The 20,604-nt window shown below is 34.6% G+C and overlaps 1 protein-coding gene across 1 annotated transcript in view, besides 1 other annotated feature; it reads left to right on the top strand.

Annotated features, from left to right (window-relative positions):
* The window catches only part of NALF1 (NALCN channel auxiliary factor 1), a 703,987-nt gene that overhangs the window by 259,127 nt on the left and 424,256 nt on the right, over positions 1-20,604 (top strand). The window lies entirely within an intron of this gene.
* Positions 6,297-6,466: an enhancer, noted in NCBI's record as "experimental_31732 CRE fragment used in MPRA reporter constructs". NCBI's record gives its function as "activates a minimal promoter by MPRAs in K562 erythroleukemia cells, with activity observed for both the introgressed and non-introgressed 13:108254337 variant alleles {active_cell/tissue: K562}" and the evidence as "EXISTENCE:reporter gene assay evidence [ECO:0000049][PMID:34662402]".

Below are 20,604 nucleotides of genomic sequence, written 5' to 3'. Positions count from 1 at the left end.
ATTATCTGTAGATTCTTTCATTCATGTATTTGATCATTGACACTGGCTGTTGGCTGGATCTGTAGTGAGTGCTTTTGGCTTAACATTATCATGTGCCTTCTCCACGTGTCCTGGGTTTCTCACAATATTATGTCTGGATCCCAACGGCATGATTCCCACAAGAGAGCTGGGAGAAGCTGTTTTACCTCTAATGACCTAATCTCAGGTGCCACGTAACGTTACTTCCAACACATTCTGTTCATCAAAATAAGACATTAAAGTTGTTTCATACTTAGAGGGAGAGAAATTACACCTTACCTTTTAATGGGAGAAATGTCAAGAATTAGTAGAAATGTTTTAAAATAATGAGATGGAAATTAAGAAAATGGCAGAGTTTCACATAGAGGTGCTTGTAGTCCAGCATTTCAGTGTAGACAGTGAAGTCCATGACAGAACGCTCATCCTTCTGTAGAGGAAGATTAGGGGAATGGATTTATAGACTAATTATGTTTTCACTGTTACAGGTGTGGTTTTCCCTGCTTTACAAATGCTGCCCATCAAATTCTCATGAAGCCCTGTGTGGTGGCTTCCGGTATTTTTCTCATTTGAAAGAAATGATAAGTAAGGCAAGGGTAGTTAAGTAAATTGCCCAGGGTCACACAGCTAGTAAGTGAGAGAACCAGGACTCCAACCCAGGGTTCTCAACTCCGAGGCATTATTTTGCCTCTGAGAGGGAGACACCCCGATATCACAGAGCAGGAGGGAGGAGTGAGGGCTTCCTAAGTGGGTGTCTTTAAGCCAAAGAAATAATAACCCTCTGTTTAGTGTATATTTTGGACTTCTCTTTACAAGGAAAAACAACAACAACAACAACTTTATTTTGGCTTGAAGATTTTCTAATTTACTACTAGTTTCGAAGAACCTTCCTCTGGTGTTTTGAAAATATCTCTTATTTTGCCTTCTAATTTATTAAATCTATATTCGTTTCATTACTTATTTCTTCCTTCTTTCTCTGCATTATCCATATGTTTATTTTTCAGGCTTGTGAATTAAATGTTGGCTTGCTTATTTATAATCTTTCATTTATTTAATTTAAGCCTACAATCTTTTAAGACCTGCGTACTTAAATTCCTAATGTTTTACTATGCAGTACTCTTATTTTTGTTCAATTAGAATTACTTTATAAGTTCAATAGGATTTTTGTCTTCGACCTGGATTGGATTTAGGTTTCCTACATTTTGGGCCCTTGTAGTATTTTCTAGAAATGCAATGACTGAAATCTGTTAGATTGAGTGCAAAAGGTAATTGCGGTTTTGCCATTAACTGATGACAAAAACCACAAATACTTTTGCACCAATGTATAAATATAATAAGAATCTGCCTTCAGAATAATAGAAAATGAATTACCTCCAATTATAAGCAGCCTAGAGCAGAGCAAAGTGCAAATGATACCTTTGATAATGTTAGCAATGTTAAATTTCTGTGGAATAGAGACAAATCAGGAATAATCAATTATTTCACTTTTCAGGACAGATAGATTTTGTTTTCAAGTACTCTAAATCACTGGTGCCTCAGTAATATCATAGCACAGAAAATATGGAGTCAACCAACCAACCAACTCACTATTCAGCTTGAAAGCCAATTTTGCATTAAGTTTACAGTGTAATTTTTTTTTAATTTGTCAACAAATATTTTTGAAATGTTTCCTCTCAAGAGATGTTAAGGTGCCAGGCGCAGTGGCTCATGCCTGTAATCTTAGCACTTTGGAAGGCCGAGGCAGGTGGATTACCTGAGGTCAGGAGTTCGAAACCAGCCTGGCCAACATGGTGAAACCCTGACTCTACTAAAAATACAAAAATTAGCTGGGCACTGTGGCTGGCACCTGTAATCCCAGCTACTTAGGAGGCTGAGGCAGGAGAATCGCTTGAACCCTGGAGGCAGAGGTTGCAGTGAGCAGAGATTGCACCACTGCGCTCCAGTCTCAGTGACAGAGCAAGACTCCATCTCAAAATATATATATATATAAATAAATAAGATATACATATGTGTGTATATACATATATAAACACACACATCTATATATGTATACATACACACACAAACACACACATATATATATATATGAGATGTTAAGGAACACAACATTGGTAAGATTGAGCATGTTTCCTTAGGGAGTAGCAGATCCACTTCTACTACCTGATTTGATCCATGTGCTCACTAGTACCATTGTCATAATAATTTTTGTAACAAGGATTGTAAAATGCTCATTTTGGGGCTTTTGAATGTACATGTGAATTTAGGCAATGGAAAACACATTTTGCCTGCACTGTATATATAAATGAAGACTTGTGTGCTGTAGGGTATTTCGGGAAATTTTTTGGAGATCTGGCTATTGAATCCCAAAATTGAAACACTCCCAGGTTTGCATCCCTTGATGGATAATTATTTCAATGATACAGCCTGGCTGGGTCTACCTGTGTTTTTGGAATGAATTAACTGGTGCATAAGGGGCAAGACATTAGCTTCTCAGCGTGGGAACAGGTTGTCTGCTGGAAAATGTTTCAACAAATGTTTTCTTCAACTAATATGTTTCACTGTACAGAGAGGATGTTTCCCAGCAGCAGGGACTTGAGCCCACTTTGTTTAATCTGCAACACCCTTGTCTAGCTCTTTGGAAAAGCACCATATGGAAAGATAAGCCACATTTTTAGGCTATAGAACATTTTAGTGTCATATGTACATAGATGGAAATTTCCAAGAAGGATCAAGTTAGAATTTTTTCCTTCCTAGGAATAAAGTTCTGCTTTCTTTAATCTTTTTTTTTCCTGTGAAACCCATAAGTGATACCCATAACAAAAACTAATAGATAATAGAAATAATAAAAACAAAAACATGATAATATGCTATTAAGTAAATAGGCCTAATAATGAATTTGTCGTCGTCTCTGTTATGAATCTGCAAAGCCAAGTCCCGAATTAGTTAACCGGAAGGAAGGAGAATGTCTCCACTTCTTTTAGGAACAGTTGGTTATGACGCCTGATGAAGCTGGAAAGAGAGCAGGAGGATGTATTACATATTTAATGCCATGAACAGTAATAGCTTCAACTATTTCACTGGAAAGGAAGCACATTCAAGTTCTTAGAATTCTGACTTAAGGAAAACACAGAATATTATTAATGTGATTGTATTAAATGATGTCTTTGTCACAAATGAAAGCCATGCCTTGACAAGCTTTTTGTTTAAATCATCCTTTTGGGTATTGCAGCAGCTAAGAGTTCGTTTCTAGAGCCAATGTGTGATAAACTCCATGAGTCAATTGTTCTGCGCCCTGGGACAAATGATGGAATTTCTAATCATCAGTTTTCTTACCTGTAAACTGCAAACATACTGTATCAAGTTTGGAGTATACTTTCTTGTAATGAGAAGATGCATGTAAAACACATGCCATAGGGTCTGGCACATAGTAAGCACTCAGAAAAATGAAAGCTCTCACAATTATTACCTGTAGTATTATCACGATCTCATGGCTAACATGAGATTGAGAGGGGGACTTGCTGATGTCTGTTCCTACAAGAATTCAGCTATGGTCTTGAGGCTGCGGCACAGCTTCATGATGTCACCCACTGGCCACCACCACCGGGTAGCTTGGAAGTAGCACAGAAATTATTCTGAGATAAGTTTCATACTGTGAGCTTAAATTTCTAAAATAAAGACATTATGGAATATTAATGAGGGAACATGCCATATTCTCCCTCTTCTTTCATATCATGTTTAATTCTCCAGCCTTAATTGTGGAGAATAACTTTCTTACTTGCCTTTTCAACTGAGTTCCAAAAGAATATCAGACATGTTAACTGAAATGCATCCTATACTTTTCTGAAATCAGCAATGTTTTGTTCAGATACGTTTCCCAAGAAATGAAAAATCCACTCATTCAGGTTGGAATTACACTGCTTTGAGTATTTTCATTTTGGTTCTTCTAAAATGCCTAATTATACAAATGAGAAAATAGTTTCTAAATTCCTTAGAAAGAAAGGGGGAAAAAGACTGAATTCTAAATGTAGATTTAAAAAAAAGACAAAATAATTATTTGGATTAAAAGCCACCAATTTTAAATGTAGCCCCTAAGCCCTCTAAACAGCATGAAAGCAATTTTAGTATGCTTGCATTTGGGAAACGATTATTGGCAAGAATGCAGTTATAAGGAGTACATCATTTCTGATCTAAAGGTCACTGACTTAGAAAATGGGGGAGGAACGGTATTAATATTTTAACTTTTGTGTGCTCGAATGCTTTTTTTGATGGCTTAGACATATTTTAGCTACATGAATCATTTCTGTCTTTGAATATGGTTAGAGAACCAATTATTTCTGGAAGATCCGAAATTGAGAATGACTTTTACCTCAATTAAAAATAAATTCTTTGAGTTAAAACACAGCCTCCTGCACGTGACTGGTATGTGTCACCTCTTGCTATGTTCCTCCTACTCCAGGGCAACAAAGTGGAACAATCTCCTCATGCACAGCTTAAGAAATGTATGTCATGAGAGTGTCTAAACGTGCAAAAAGCAAGTCATTTTTAAAACAGATAAGTGTATTCACCAGAATCCTGCTGGCATTTGGAGTCACAGATGGAAATATAGAAAATGGAGCAGCAGACACAGATACCATGGTTCACTGGTGCCCCACATGATAGTCCAAGGATTTTAGTTTTAATCTTCACTATCTTCTTCAATTTAGTTTTTATAGTCAGATTTTAAATTGCCTCTCTGTTAATGTGTTCATTACTCATCTGTTATTAAAAGGAGAGGAGTGTACATTTTATATGATAATGGCTAATCCATTTTTATCTTTTTGTTTTGATATACTTCGGTATATTAAAAATAAGCCTGTATCACTAATTTTAGACTGTACTATGTGCATGTTGATGACTTTTATCTCTAAAAACAATAACTCATTATTGCTTCAAATTTATAAAAAGAACCTCTCATATTTAGCCAACTTTTCTGATTGAGAGTAAGTTCTTATATTTGAGCAATTTTGGCTAGCACATGGCAATCTTTCTTCTTAGGAAATGAATTGTTACCTCTATAAATTTTCAGCTAACAGCAAATGGAGTCATGAGTCCAAAAGTCACCTGGAAAATGAGAAGAGAAAATGTGTTTTAACTAGAAATTTTTTTTGCAATAACATTTCAGCAGTGTCTAAATTGTAAAACTAATAATTAAATTGCATATCAGTACAATGAAAAATAAAAATGATCGTTTTTGTTAATTTTAGCATTGCTTTATAAAACAATAAGCAGTAAGATTTTCATAAAAAGAAATTTTAATCAGAAATGATTTTCAATTTAATAAAAGTTCCTTTTATAGACATGACTGAGACCAGAGAGTCTGTCTATGTTAAGAGAGCTGCGAAATTGCCCTGTCCGTTTTTCCACTAACTAGGCCTTCTTCATGCAGAAGAGAAAGATTTGCCACAAAATTACTCAAGAAGATAAAATTTTAAATATACATATATGGATGTATTTATAATGACATATAAGCATAGAGAATTCTGTGTCTTTGTTTATGCTTATTGGTCCTGCAAGGCTATCGATGGCGTTGGCAAGGTGGATGGATCCATATGAAAACTAGCAAATATAAGCATGTGGATTCCAGGGTTAGACGCGAAGGAATAATTTAATGAATTAAACCTTTTATAGAATCAAACTAAGTGTTAAATTTTTAAGCACTCCTTAATTATTTAAAGGCAAACTCAAATGCAATTGGAAATTTGTTGTGTAACATTTAAGGAAAATAGGAAAATATTAATAAGCCATGTCACCATGATATAAATACCTGCATTATTGATTATCATTGTTTTTTATTTGATCTGCCTGAAGTATTTGAGACAGAGAAACAACTTTACGTTATCCCTTTAAAAGATGGGAAAACTATCTTAGGGAGGTTGAGTGACTGGGCCAAGGACCCCAAAGTAGGGGTGGCAGAGACACTCTGGAGAGATCTCAGATGTTATTTTAGTCGAGTGTGCCTTACATTATAACAGGCAATGTTTTCTCTCTAAATAGCTTATTCTCAGCCGCTTTCTAACCACAGTGCTTACAAAGACTTCCCTCTTATGATCTGAGTATATAGATTTTTAGATTCAATTTTCCTGGTTTCATAGATGGTTAGAACTGAATAATCTGTAGATCTTCTTGGCCAAACCTGTCATTTATTACATAAGATCATTAAAGCCGTAGGAGTTTAAAACTCACTGAAAAACATAGATCTTCTGATTGAAAAGCTGAAGTTAGAACATAGGTGTATTGGATGCAGTTCAGAGACCTTTCTATACAATTAAATCATGAGCTTTATTTTTAGGAAATTGTCCAAGTCATATTGAATTTGAAGAAAAAATGTTCAAGGAAACAATGGGAAATTTGTCGCATTAAAACAAAAAAGGATAGGGAAGTGGGAGAGAGAAATAGAAGGAAAAGGAAGGAAGGGAGGGAGCCTCAGTAATTTCTCTCCGATTGGGTAAAACTGATATTGGGTTTAAGTAACAGCATTTTTTTTTTAGCTAAGAATATGTCTATATGAAGAAACATACTCTATTTCCACCTTTTTCCTACCAATAGTGATTTTTTTTTATTGTGTGTGTGTGTGTTTTGTTTTGTATTCATCTCTGAATCCCCAAAACACTACTTATGAAAAAAGAGAATACCCTAAAACAGTTGCGAATGAGACACTGCCTTAGTTCTTTGAAAAGTGTGATGAAGACATTGGCTTTATTAGGATATTCCTACACCCTGAGAAATTATAGTCAGGAGGTAATCTAATAATTTAGCTTACAAAATACAAACAAAGCCTCCTGATAAAAACTGTGAATTCTAACTGCATTTGGGTTGGTCTGTAGTGAGCGCCTAGAGGTGAGCTGAATCCATTCTTGCAGAAGAGCACAGGAAAGTAGTGTTGATAGGAAAGTTGGATACATATCTCAAGAAAAGTCGCTCCATCTCTCAGCCCAATGTCCACAATTCTCTTTTAAAAAGAGAGTAAAATAATCTACAAGATTGTTTCAAGTTCCCAAATTTGCGTTTAAGTGTTCTAGGGGAATTCTTACATTGGAATCCACCTCGATCCTGGTCAGCACAGTCTCAGCTCAGTTCCCCATCACCTCCAGCCTGAAGTGGGGCTTTAGACTCCTTGTGGGTTTCTTCAATCTGAGGTCGGGGAGCATTGCACAATCTGGCCCACTGCCTAATGGATACTACAGCAATCATTCTAAAGGGCAGTCACACATGCTGGTCCCCAACTGACATTGCTTTCAGGGCTCTATATTTTTCTTAGGTAAAGAGAGAAATCCTTCACATGATTAGGAAGACCTACCGTGACTTATACCTCTCCCTTATATCTGTTTTCCTTTATCAGCTCTCCATCTGTCAGGACTTCCTCTGGGATTGCCCTGACCCACCCAATAGCACAAACTCATTTCTTACTAGGCACTTGCCTAAAATACCTTCTAATCATCCTTCAAGTCCCTGCAGTCATGTAATTTTCTGCATTCATTCAACAAATACTATCGAGGTCAAGTTAAGTGTCAGGAATATTTCAAAGTACTAATGATATAGCAATCATTCATTGTGCTCCTTTAAATCTCAAGCTACTTTTATTGTTTTTATCTCTTATTCACCTGTATGTTTCTGAATGAGGGTCTATATAAGTTAATATTATTTACCTCTCTTTCTAGAGCCAGGCTTAGTGCCTAGGTAAGCATCCAACAGGCACCGACCACTGTAAGTAACTGATACACAATAAACATGTGACTTAGCCAGTATCTCAGTTTGTGGAGTAAGTTAGCTATTCAAAAAAACATTGAAATATTTTGTTTTTATGAATATTGAATTAAAACCTTATTAAAATAACATAGTTAGAATATCTGGCCATTTTTTAAAAGACATTAACCTACATAATAGTTTGAGGAGGTCTGTTTTTATTAACTTTCTGTACAATTGGCGTCTTTCCTTGTGGGATGAAAATCTTAAGTCATTCTAACTCTAAAATATTGATAATATAAGGAAGACATTGCAAAGCTAACATTGCCCTGTTCTTGTTTGCTTCCTATTGTGTATCCCTGAGTCTTATAGAGGATACTATCACATTACCTAGATAAACGTAATGAAATTTTATTGCTGCATTGCTGTCTTCCAATCGTCACTGTAACACACAACCTTCAACCTTGAATTCTGAATGCCATGGTGATTTTCTTACCTACAATATTTCCTGAAGAGGCTACTTTCTTACAGCTTCTTAACCAAAAATGAGAATTTTATTTAAGTTATAATTAACCACCAGATGAAAAGCAACTGAGATATTTATCTAGTTTTTGTGATCTTGTTTCATAAGCTGTGATGGTATCATTCAAGTAATAATAACATTATATCAGAGTTAGGCCATATAGTGGGGAAATGATCAAAATTATTTAAATATGACTCGTTGTACACAACTAGATATATTTTATGACCCATGTAATTAGCCTGGGATTTACCAAATGCCTACAGGAATGCAGGTATGATTACCCTAACATACTCTATACAACTTGTTTAGATAAAGAAACCAAGTCATATTTTATTGTATTTATGATAATTAATATTTTTAGCTTCTTATCCCATTATACTAGTTAAAATTCACAGAAGACTGGATAGGCAAAACAGAAACAAGAGAACATAAAATAGTGTTCAACTTCACTAATAATTTGGAAATGAATTTGAAGTAAAAATAAGTTATAAAATGTTAGTTTATGCTCATTAGATTTACAAAAATTAAAAAATCTAGCAATAACGAATATTGGCTGAAATGTAGAAAAATGGGACATCAGAAACTGCTGGAGTGGGTGCAAAATTTTGGAGAGCAATTTGGCTGTATTTTTCAAAGATGAGATTGGATACACCATACCCTAATAATGTTATTTTTTTTTTTTTTTTTTGAGACGGAGTCTCGCTCTGTTGCCCCGGCTGGAGTGCAGTGGCGCAATCTTGGCTCACTGCAAGCTCCGCCTCCCAGGTTCATGCCATTCTCCTGCCTCAGCCTCCCGAGTAGCTGGGACTACAGATGCCCGCCACCACGCCTGGCTAATTTTTTGTATTTTTTTGGTAGAGACGGGGTTTCACCGTGTTAGCCAGGATGGTCTCCATCTCCTGACCTCGTGATCTGCCCGCCTCGGCCTCCCAATATAATGTTACTTGTAGGCACATCCCTAGAGATGGTTTCTTGCATGTGCTCAGAATCATGTCTAAAGAAATTCCTTGAGGCATCTTTGTTGTGAAAATTTGGAAACAACACAAATGTTCAGTAAAATAACTTAGGACAAACTCATACTATGGGACATAAGACAAAATGATTTGATTCCTTAATTTGATAAATGTTTATTGAGCATTATGTACTTTTCTAGTCTTGGCGGGAAGAGCAGCAAAAAGCAAGAAGACACCAACACAAAGTCCCAAATGTAATTTGGCTTGGAAGAAAATTATGTCAGATCATGATAAGTGAGAAGAAAAATAAGCTAGAGTAAGTAAATAATGATAATGGAGGGAGAAGGCCACTGCCTCAGGTAAGGTGGCCTTTTAAGACTTCTCTTATAAAATGATGCTGATCAGAGACCTGAGTAAGTAAGAGTGCAAACCATGAAATGACACGAAGAAAGATGATCCTATGCAGAAGAACCAGTTCCAAAGCATGGTGTCAGAGGATTATAGATTGCAATTTTTAGCCAGAGAAATTAGAATAATGGAATTTCTACTCTGCTTATAAACAAGTCTGAGAAAGGCACATTCTGGAGATAGGAAGAATTATAACTTTGGTTTTAGACACATTAAATTTGATATGCACATTAGGCATCCCGTTAATGATTTTCCTTAGCAACTGGGTCTATGAGGTTGGTGTTCAAGCAAGAAAATCCAGGACTGGAGGTATGTATTTGGGAAACATCAGTCTATAAATTATTTTAAAACTACGGGACTGACAGTGATTACTTAAAAACATGAGCATAGGCATTTCAGTTCTGAATCTTGAGCTACTCGTGTATTAAGAAATTGGAACATGAGGATTCAGCAAAGAAAAAAGGGATTGTTACCAAAGATAAAGGTGGAAAACCAAGAGGGATTGGTGCTCAAAATGTGAAGTTAAATAGAAAGGAAATCACACATCTATGACAAATTAGTGTTGTGTGTATGCCTGTGTGTGTATTGTGTGTGCATGTTGTGTGTGTCCATAGAGCAAATTCTGGACAGAGAGCAAAATACTAACCTAGGTTTTACCATCTAGGCATATCCCTAAGTCTTATAGAGGATACTATCACATTACCTAGAAAAATTTAGTTTAATTTGATTGCCAAGTTATAGTCTTGTAATTGTCACTGTAACATATAATCTTCAACCTTGAATTTTGAATGTCATGATGATTTTCTTATCTGTACTTCCTGAAGGGGTTAGTTTCCTACAGCTTCTTAACAGAGATGAAAATTTGGTTTAAGTAGTAATTAACTACCAGATGAAAAACAACTGAGATATTTTTCTACATAATGTTGTGGATAAATTGTACTTTTTATTTTATTCTTTTTGATTGATTTTTAAAATAATTATGTATTCTTACAATTAGCAGCAAAAGTGATTTTCATTTAAAATTTAGATATTCATAGGTTTGGTCTCAGTAAGTTTCTACTGTCGTTTACAATTGTATTGTACTATCTAATATTGACTATTTTTTCTTTTGTAAGCTTTTATATTATTTTGCTAGAAGGAAGCCATTTACACAATTCAGTACCCTTTATGTTACCTCTATTATTTATAAGAACAAAAGCCCTGGGAAGATATAATTTGATGTGTATGAGATTGATAGTCTCGGTTAGACCTTAATGCACACACAAAAATTCATGCATTGTCACTGTCATTATATAAAAGGAGAGGCTTCAAAGTAATTATGTGGGAGATGAAATACTACATAGGAGAACCTACTGTAGACATTCTTTAAATCTTGTACAGAAAGCATAATTTGAATTATGTTTCTTAATTTACCTCCTGTACCTATGCAGGAGGGTCATGTGTGTACGTGTGCGAGTACACATTTGTGTGTGTGTGTATGTGCATTATTTGTAGAAGCCATAAAGCATTAAGGTAATACACCTGCTGCTTTATGCTAATGTCTTTGATAACATAGACTTCTTCAAGGATTGACTGAAAAATCTGTTTATTCACCTTATCTACAAAAGCACTGCTGATATTTTCTGAGGGCATGTATGAAACGTAACACCCTCTATGCAAAATATCATTTAAGGTCTGTCTCAATTTGAATATATCGAAATGTCTCAAGCAAATAGAAAACTGAAGCAGGGGAAATAGAGTTGCATACCTAGAAGTTCCAATCATCATTGTGTTTTTAAGTGACTTGAAATGACTTCAAAAAGTTCAGTTCCTTAAAATAACAGGCATGATATCTTTCTCTAAATAAGTATAACATTGAGCATACTGCCAACATGGGAAAAAAATAGAAATGAACACGAATGAAAATTGTCTTTTCTTTTTCCATATATTATACTTTAAGTTCTGGGATACATGTGCAGAATGGGCAGGTTTGTTATATATGTATACATGTTCCATATGGTGTGCTGCACCCATCAACCCATCATCTACATTAGGTATTTCTCATAATGCTATCCTCCCCCTAGTCCCCCACCCCCCTCAACAGGGCCCCGGTGTGTGATGTTCCTCTCCCTGTATCCATGTGTTCTCGTTGTTCAACTCCCACTTATGAGTGAGAACATGCAGTGTTTGGTTTTCTGTTCCTGTGTTAGTTTGCTGAGAGTGATGGTTTCCAACTTCATCCACGTTTCTGCAAAGGACATGAACTCATACATTTTTGTGGCTACATAGCATTCCATGGTGTATATATGCCACATTTTCTTTATCCAATCTATCATTGATGAGCATTTGGGTTGTTTCCAATTCATTGCTATTGTGAATAGTGCTGCAATACACGTATGTGTGCGTGTGTCTTTATAGTGGAATTATTTATAATCCTTTGGGTATATACCCAGTAATGGGATTGCTGGGCCAAATGGTATTTCTGATTCTAGATCCTTGAGGAATCGCCACACTGTCTTTCACAATGGCTGAACTAGAAAATTCCCTTTTCTTATGAGGAGGCACTTGAGTTTCTTTAGAGGCTGTAGCTTCCTGAGATTGACAGAGACCTTAATATTGCAAGATTCCCACTACTTTGTATTTGTTGAGGTGCCTTCTCCCACAGATCATTCCTCCTCCACTGAAGATAATTTTCTCTCCATTGCCCTCGAAGACTGATACCTTCCCCTTCCACATACACAGCTGGGTTTTGGCAGTTTCCACCCCACAACCTTTAATATTACTCTTTTTTTGTTTTGGTATGTCAGTGACCAGTGGCTAAATATACCAATTGGAGCCCCAGCAATATCCAAAACCTAGGCAGAAAAGTCAGAGGGTACACTATGCCAGTAAGGGGCAAATTTCAGAAAATGGTGTTAGAGAGATCACATGATCATCTATTGAGCAGGACGCTTGAACTCTTTCTGTTAAAATAGGCTGCATTACTTGAGCCTTGATTTTGCAGTTATTTGGAATTGTTCTGAGTTTTCACTTTTCCATCACTCATGGTCACAGATGATGCATGTGACAGCTATATTAGGCAGGGCATGTTTATAAAATCTTTGCATTTATCTTCTTAAAAAGCAATTATCTGGAAAATATAGCAATTAGAAAGTATGCATTAGAAATAAGCCCATTCTTGCTTATATAAAAATGAAATCAGCTATGCAACTGCAATTATTTAGTACTAGTTTGGCTTGTTATGAAATGAAGCATGTGTAGATGGTGGGCCATGAAAAGCATAAGCTTCCAGGCAATATTAGAAAAATGTTCCTCAGCATTCTATACCACTGTGTTTCTAGTGCCATCAGTAGAACATATGAGATACTCTCTTTTAACAATTTTAATATACTAAAATTTATGGACAAGAGAAGAGATGCCCTGAACCCATTCTTATTATTTAAATTGTTTTGTAAAAGAATTGTGTTTCTTATGATTAGAATAATGTTCTCATTATATGGTAGATTAGATAGACTCCAATTAATTAGAAGATAAACTTTTCCATGATTATGGATGGTTTGACAATTTCCAAATGACTAGGTTGAAAGTGTTGATTTAAAGAGACTGAAAGATTTCTGTTTTCCCTTACTCTGATATTAAACCTCTCTGGGACCGTGGTCGCTGTCTTGTCTGTTCATGTTCCTTGAACGCTTTCTAACTATGTGTGTATCTGTATGCATGCTAAAATAATAACATGCTAAATTAATTATTGGGATATTTAAAATTTGAAATTATATAATCATAAAAGATAAACTATGGATCTGAAAGTGTACAGGCAACTCAGTGGACACAAATATTTTGCCAAAATTTTCTTTTTTCCTTTTCTATTTTTTTAATTTTTAATTTTTGATTCAGATATACGTGTATAGATTTGTTACAAGGGTACATTGTGAATGCTGGGCTTAACAGAGTTGTCAGTGTGACAGCACCATTTCAACATATCCTTCTAAAAGGAAAAACAATATTAATTTACTTTAGTTTTCTCACTAATAAAGAAAATTGTCACAGTTGATTTTGGGTCACTCAAATACTATTGTAAGAGGTTTTATGCTTTAAACACAAACTTATATGAATATATAAAATTGTTTTGGCCATCACTATTTTTATCGTTTCCTGTTTTCATAAACACTATTGGGTGGAGTATTTGTTTTAGGTTTCTTTGAAGGACAGTAAATGTACAATGCCTTGATAATATGCCACACTGATTACTTTAGCAGAAAAAATACATACAGGCATGCGAACCTGCACACAGGGACACAGGGGATTGGGGGAAAGAGACAAAAGAGAGAAGATAAGAGGGAAGGAGAGACACAGGGAGAGATTGGTAATATTGATTGTGCAAACTAATTGACTACATAGTTCACTGTTCAAATTGATGTAAAGCATTTATTTATGTGTTATTCATAAATCAATTCATCTTTGTTGAGTGCCTAATTTTCACATAATAAGGTAAAGGAGAGAGTGTTAATAGGGGAATTGATGTAGTAAAATTTTGCACTATTGCTGTCATGCTGGAAGCTACGGATGACAACGCAGACTTGGGATTTGGAGATTATGTAGACTACAGCCCACTTTCTGCTCAATTTCCATGAATTGAAGAGTGGACAGAAGGGCTTGTTAGAGTGTCAGTTTTGAGGGATTTGGATTTGAAGAAAAGGAGATGAATGAATGGATCGTTATCTAGAAGGTTGACATAATGTCATGCTTTTGATAAAGGAGGTTTTATTTAGCTGTAAATTTGTCATGTTATCTGTGGGCCTAAAGCTCGGTATTCTACAGTTTCTACTTCCTGCCATGGACTCCCCTAAATATTGTTAGGAAGATTAAATATATTTGAAAAGACCTTCTATGGCACCTGATCCAAGACAATCTCTAAACAAATACAAGTTTCCGTTTCTGTTTTTTTTTTTTTCCTGTTGAAAACATTCCAGAAGCAGTCCTGAGTTGGTCATTGATCATAATTGATATTTTTCTAGATATGCAGTGATAGCATTAAACGGTTGTTTTATTATTACTCGAGGATTCATGGTATCATGAGCTGTGTGATGTCAAGCAAATGATGTATGTGCCCCAAACACATCGTTTGACTCCTAGGATCTCAGTGTTGGAATTTATTGAATGGTGTGAAAGACAAAATTTGGGGAGATAGACTTAGGTCTCTCAGCAGTTTTAAAGTCCTGTGTGTTTATCACTGTTCATTTAGGGGTATAATCTGCTAATTGAATTTATTAAAAACTTGCTTATTTCTTCTGGGAAATTATGGTGACTAGAGGATAATGACCTAGTACCATGTAAAATTTAATTCAGTCAACATTTGTCAATGCATACTCTTTCTCAAGAATTATAATAAAATTCTAGGGTTAAAAAGTAGCCATAAAAATTAAATAATAAAACCATGGATAAATATTTGATTAAAATATTAATATCATTTTCATCAGGTAAATAATTCTAGTCTTAGAAGTTGACTTATATGCATAAAATAAGATGTTTTAGAATAATGTACAGCATTAAATGTTCTTAAGGTTTAAATTCCTAGATTAAATTTATGGTCCTAAGTGTATTGAAAGTGTTTATTTGAAATCTATTGCTTAATTAATTTAAAAATGAACACAATATGTACTTCGTCAAGGAGATGCAGGACCACCTTAATTCTAAAAATTACCCTCTAATGCAGTTAGAGTAAATATATTAAAAGATGACCTTTGCTAAAGAGATCAACAGCGTTAACTAAAAATATTTTTATATATCTATAAAAGATTTATGCTTGCTTATATTTCTTTAGACTGCTACCCAAATGCTAAAACATTGAAAACTTTTGAATTGAGGAAAAAGAAATAAAGAATGTGTATAGATGCCAGAAAGAACAGATGATTTGCATCCAGAGAGGATTTCATTTTTATGTATCTTTATTTTTAAGAATTTATCGGTAACTACAAATGCTGTTAAAAGTCATGCAAAGAAGGTTTTTCTAAAATGTATGAATGATCTGTTTGGACCTTGATAATTACTGAATTTTAGAAGTTGATGATAACAACCAAAAAATGAGTAAATGTTTTCTATAGAGTTTCAATTTCATATACATCAAGATGAGCCTAGGTTAAGCTGAATCAAGGCATTCTGTTATTTTGCCATGAAATAAAGTTATCTATTTTTTATTCTGCTAGTAGAATTTATTAATTTTTTATGACATGCCAGTTTTATGCCAGTACTTCCCTTCTTCTTAGAACTAAGTAATGTTTTTTCATAGCAATGGTGTAAATAATGTCAAAGGACAAACCATACTTTTAATAAAACTCTCTTATATAATAAAAATAGTTGGAATAATATTTTAAGGTATTTTTTAAATGAATTCTTCCTCTTGCTAGAATAAGCTACAGATCTATGCAATGTTTAATTGATCAGTGAATTAAGTTTTCCACAGATTAATGAGATTTTCTAAATATTTGAAGTTTAACTAGTTTTGCCAGTATTCCATCTTTTCTTTCCTAGTCATCATAGCAAATATCACATTTTGAGGTAGATTAAAAGTAATTTAAATTATTTATTTGAGAGAGTCTAACAAGTCATTAAGAATATTTTTAGCTACATACAGATTCAAAGCTTAAAAATACTGAATATACTTTTACTTGGCATTTAAAAAATTATTTACACATGTACACACACATACATTTTCTTTGCCAGATAAAAATGAGATGATAGTATAGCAGATTTCTAAGGAACACTGAGTAAAATCATTAGAAAGTGTCATCTGAGTAAAATTTTTGCACGTGGTTAGGTAAATATTTGAAATCGGAGGTCAAACACTGTCAATTATTTACTTGGTTGTCCCAAGGATCATACGGTCTCCATCCATCTTCAGTATTATTAGAAATAAGAGTCCTTCTTTGTCTATGTTGACTGTTGAGGGAAAATGTTCAGACAATGTTTAATTTTTAGAAATTATTTTACCAAATATTTTAATTGAGTTAAATATATCTTCGCGTTTGAAAAGCAAATACTGAGAATCATTCACAAAGTTTTCTTTCATACTTTGTTTCTTTCAGCATGAAGCAATTCTAAAACTCCAAGTGAGTGAAGAAAATTTAAATGGCTTTCTTCTTTTTATGAAAGTAGTGGGAAGGGCTGTACAATCAAACAGACCTAAATCCAGTTACATTTCACTCAGTTGGAGGCAAAGTCAACCCCATAATAAAAATTAAAGAAAATGACTCTGAATTACTCCTTATGTTGCATCTGGCATTTAATTGATGTGTATAATAAAGTAAGTAAAAATCTTCTAATCAAATTTTACATTTGCATACTGACATTTTATCTAAAAGATAGGTTTGGATGTACTGAAATCTTTCAGTCAGTCTCTGAAGAAGTCTCAATGCTGAATGATGGAAGCCTATTATGTGCAGAATACGTATTAAACTTGGTCACTCAAATGAAGACTGTTACTCATATGTCACTGCATTTACTAAAGCTGCGGGAGGGAAGAGGTCTCTGGAATATTTCCATCCATACTCGATCTTATACTCATTTCCATTTTATGCTCATTTGACTGTTTCTTTTTATTACTTGGCATCACGAAACTATTGAGTTATCTTAATGGGAATTCTATTGTTACTCTCATCTTTATTACTTCCATTAGGCATTTGGATCACTGGTTGGTCTCTTTTCTCTTTACTGTTTCTCAGTTTTACATTTACATGTTATTTCTATCAGTAAGTTTTATAACAGTCTTTATAAACTCTGTGCTAGAGTTTCTAATAGAATGCTTACAAACAATCCTACCTATCCTATGACTTCTATGTTTAATCCATCAACTACAGCTAATGTAGGGGGATTTCAGGTGTCTGTAAGACAAAGGCATATCTCAGAAGGAAGTGTGGAGGGTGGGGGATGATGATTGAGCAGGAGAGTCATCAAAACTGTACATGAGAAAGGTGCTTGGCCTCTTCTCAGTTACCACTGCGACATGACACACAGGCTCAACGTCTTCCTCATAAGGCAATGTAAACTGATACCCACTTACTCCAACAGAAGTCAGCTTAGAGAAATTCACACATGATAGATGTATAAATGGACAAAGAAAGGAGTTAGAAAAGGATGAGACTTGTTTCTAACCTCCGAGAATAACTCCATTTTAAATAGCAAACTCTTCTCTGTTCTAAATCTTTCTTGATGTCACCAAATATACAAAACATTATTATACTGTACAGTGCGAGCTAGGAAGACTTTTTGGTTTTTCTTACTAATAGAAATGGAGATGGTTTATTATATATTTAACAGTCTAAAATTCAAACTATTTTCTTTCCACCAATGGACAAACTTGTTGAGCACATGATACTTAAGGCAATACAATATCTCACAATACAATAATCATCCTGAAGGTCGTAAATTGCATTTTCTTCTAAGTGACTCTAAAATGCTTTGAAATTTAGAAGTTAATGAACTCATTTCTGTTTCCTATAAAAACAACTTATAGAAATAAAATTAATATTTTGCAAGTCAGATGTTGAATATTATAATTTTCATGGATTTCTTACTACTCATTTGAAATTTTTTATCATTTCATTTATCTTTATGTGCTAAATAAAGATTAAACATTTTCTAACTTTATGATGGTGGTACTTTTCACTATAAGGATATTTGTCAAAAATAGTACTCATGACTATTATAATTACAGTCTTTCTGTATGTCTAGTGTCTCTCCTGCCAACCAAGAACAAGTACACAAAGAAAATTTAATTCCATTCAAGTAAAAAAGCAAGAAATAGTAATCTATTCGTAATAGAAGTGGTGGAAGTGCCTAGTAGCTACCAGTACCATCTTTCATCTGAGATGTCAGCTGACTAGCTGTGCAATCTGTTTGGTTATCCTGCCTGATATGTTATTAGCAAATATTTCAAGTCCCATCATATCATATAAGCCCTGCCTCAAGGGAAATTCCAAAAGTCAGGCAAAGAAAGAAGATACAAGTTTACTAGATAACTTACCACTTTAATCAATATTCAATTATACATGTATTTTGGAAATATTCTAATTTCATGTTTTGTATCACAATTGCCATCTAATTACTCATAATTCAGATAAATTTATGTTAACTTTTATGAAAACTAAACAGGTGTGATCTAATAAAATTAATATTTAATTGCAAATACCAGCTATTCTTTAATGCACAGGGAAAAAAATACCCTGGATAGATCATTTACCCTCAAGTCACAGATAACTGTTTGAATATATCAAGAATTCCTAAAATGAAGTTTTAAACCTTCCCAAAACTTAACTGAATTTGCTGTTGATTCAATGCACTTGTAAAATCTTGGTGTTTCAGCAATTATTTTTATACACAAATTTATCCTAGTAGAAAGATTGCCATTGCCATTTGGTAAAAAGCTACCAAAATTTAGACACTTGGAATTTGCTTTTGGCTTCACTCGTGACCCCGAAGAACATCCAAGATTTTAACGGTGATGAAAGTAGTACATTCAGATTTATCTTCTTGATTTTTCTAAAAACTCCGAGTGAGCCAGTATTCATAAAAAATGTTAAAAAGCAGAAGAAAGGACACAAGATAAACAATAATTTGGATAATTCGTAAATTGGTATTTCATTCTTGACTTCTTGAGAATTCATTGTATACGCTACTCCTCAAAAATAAGGAAAACCATAAACAAAAATTCTGGTCTGAAATATCTTGGCAGTAATGTGTTTGCTCTCCCCTGTCCTGAATATTTTAGGCTAACTTTCAATTAAAATGGATTGCAATTAAATTATTTTGGGCAGAAATGTGTCTTAACCTTTGACAAAGTTGATCATTTCAGCATTTTCAAATGCTTAAACTATTTCTTAAAATGACACAAATTGTGGCGTTGCCATTTACCGAGGTTTACATGCTCTTGATGCTTAAGGATTCGGCTTTCTTTTTTCCCCCGCATTTATTCACTGAAAACATGATTGATTCAGTTTTGTACCTATGCAGAATGCCACTGACGTGATGCCAAATATGCCCTATTTAGAAAAAATAAAAATTAAAAGGATATTTTTCTGCACAGTCAAAATTATGCAGATGTGGATTTAAAAGACTACATGTCAAAAAATACACAAGTAAAGTTTACTTACTCCATGTTTCCTTTTACACTCACAGACAGCAGATTTACAGGCACCAAACAGCCTTCATCAAAACAATGAAATGCCCAGTGTGGCTCTTTGATGACTTCATTCTGTCTTTCACGTATGCCCAAACCCTCATAATTGCAGGTGCTTTTTCTGTACCCAATTATTTGGGGTCTCTGTGTTATTCCCAGGCATGCTTAGGTCATTCTGGTTTCCCAGGGCTCCCTTTAGGGCCTCTAGATATCCAAGTTGTCACAGTCTCATTTCTCAGCTTAGTCTTTCCAGACTCTCCAACATACCCATGTTCAATTCTACATCACATGGCATCAAGACAGGGACTCAACATTGCCTAAAGCAGTTTGGGTCACTAACTTATTTGATAAACTAATTTCTGTTAAGGCTCTTTGTTCTTTCATTCTCAGCTGAAATGTGTGTATGGCAACAGGGGCCTCCCATGGACAGTCCACTTTTGGAAGCTCTTGGATGGTGTCACCATGAAAGAGTAGAGAAAGATGTTTAGGAATGTGCCCACTTGATGCGAGAATTGTGAGAACAGTCCTTCATAGATGGACAATGGTGGGTTCATTAAATAGCACTCTGGGAATAAAGTCTCTTGGTAAAGTAAGCAAGAGAATATTCATAAGCTGGCCAGTCGTTCATTCTTCCATGCACACATTTGTTCAGTACATTTTATTGTGCTAGGTCCTGGAGATACAGAAGAGAGGAGTTAGACACTCCATCTCCATGTGTGGTTTACAGTCTAGCAGGGATGCATCCATGTGAGAGAGCTGTGCACCTGTTCAGTTTTGCTCACCTCTAGCCCAGTTGAAAACAAAATTATGGACAACAATTAATCTAATAAAAA

Source organism: Homo sapiens, chromosome 13, assembly GCF_000001405.40.
Source record: "Homo sapiens chromosome 13, GRCh38.p14 Primary Assembly".
NCBI lineage: Eukaryota > Metazoa > Chordata > Mammalia > Primates > Hominidae > Homo > Homo sapiens.
The sequence above is the reverse complement of the archived record's forward strand: the minus strand, read 5'-3'. Positions and strand labels throughout refer to the sequence as shown.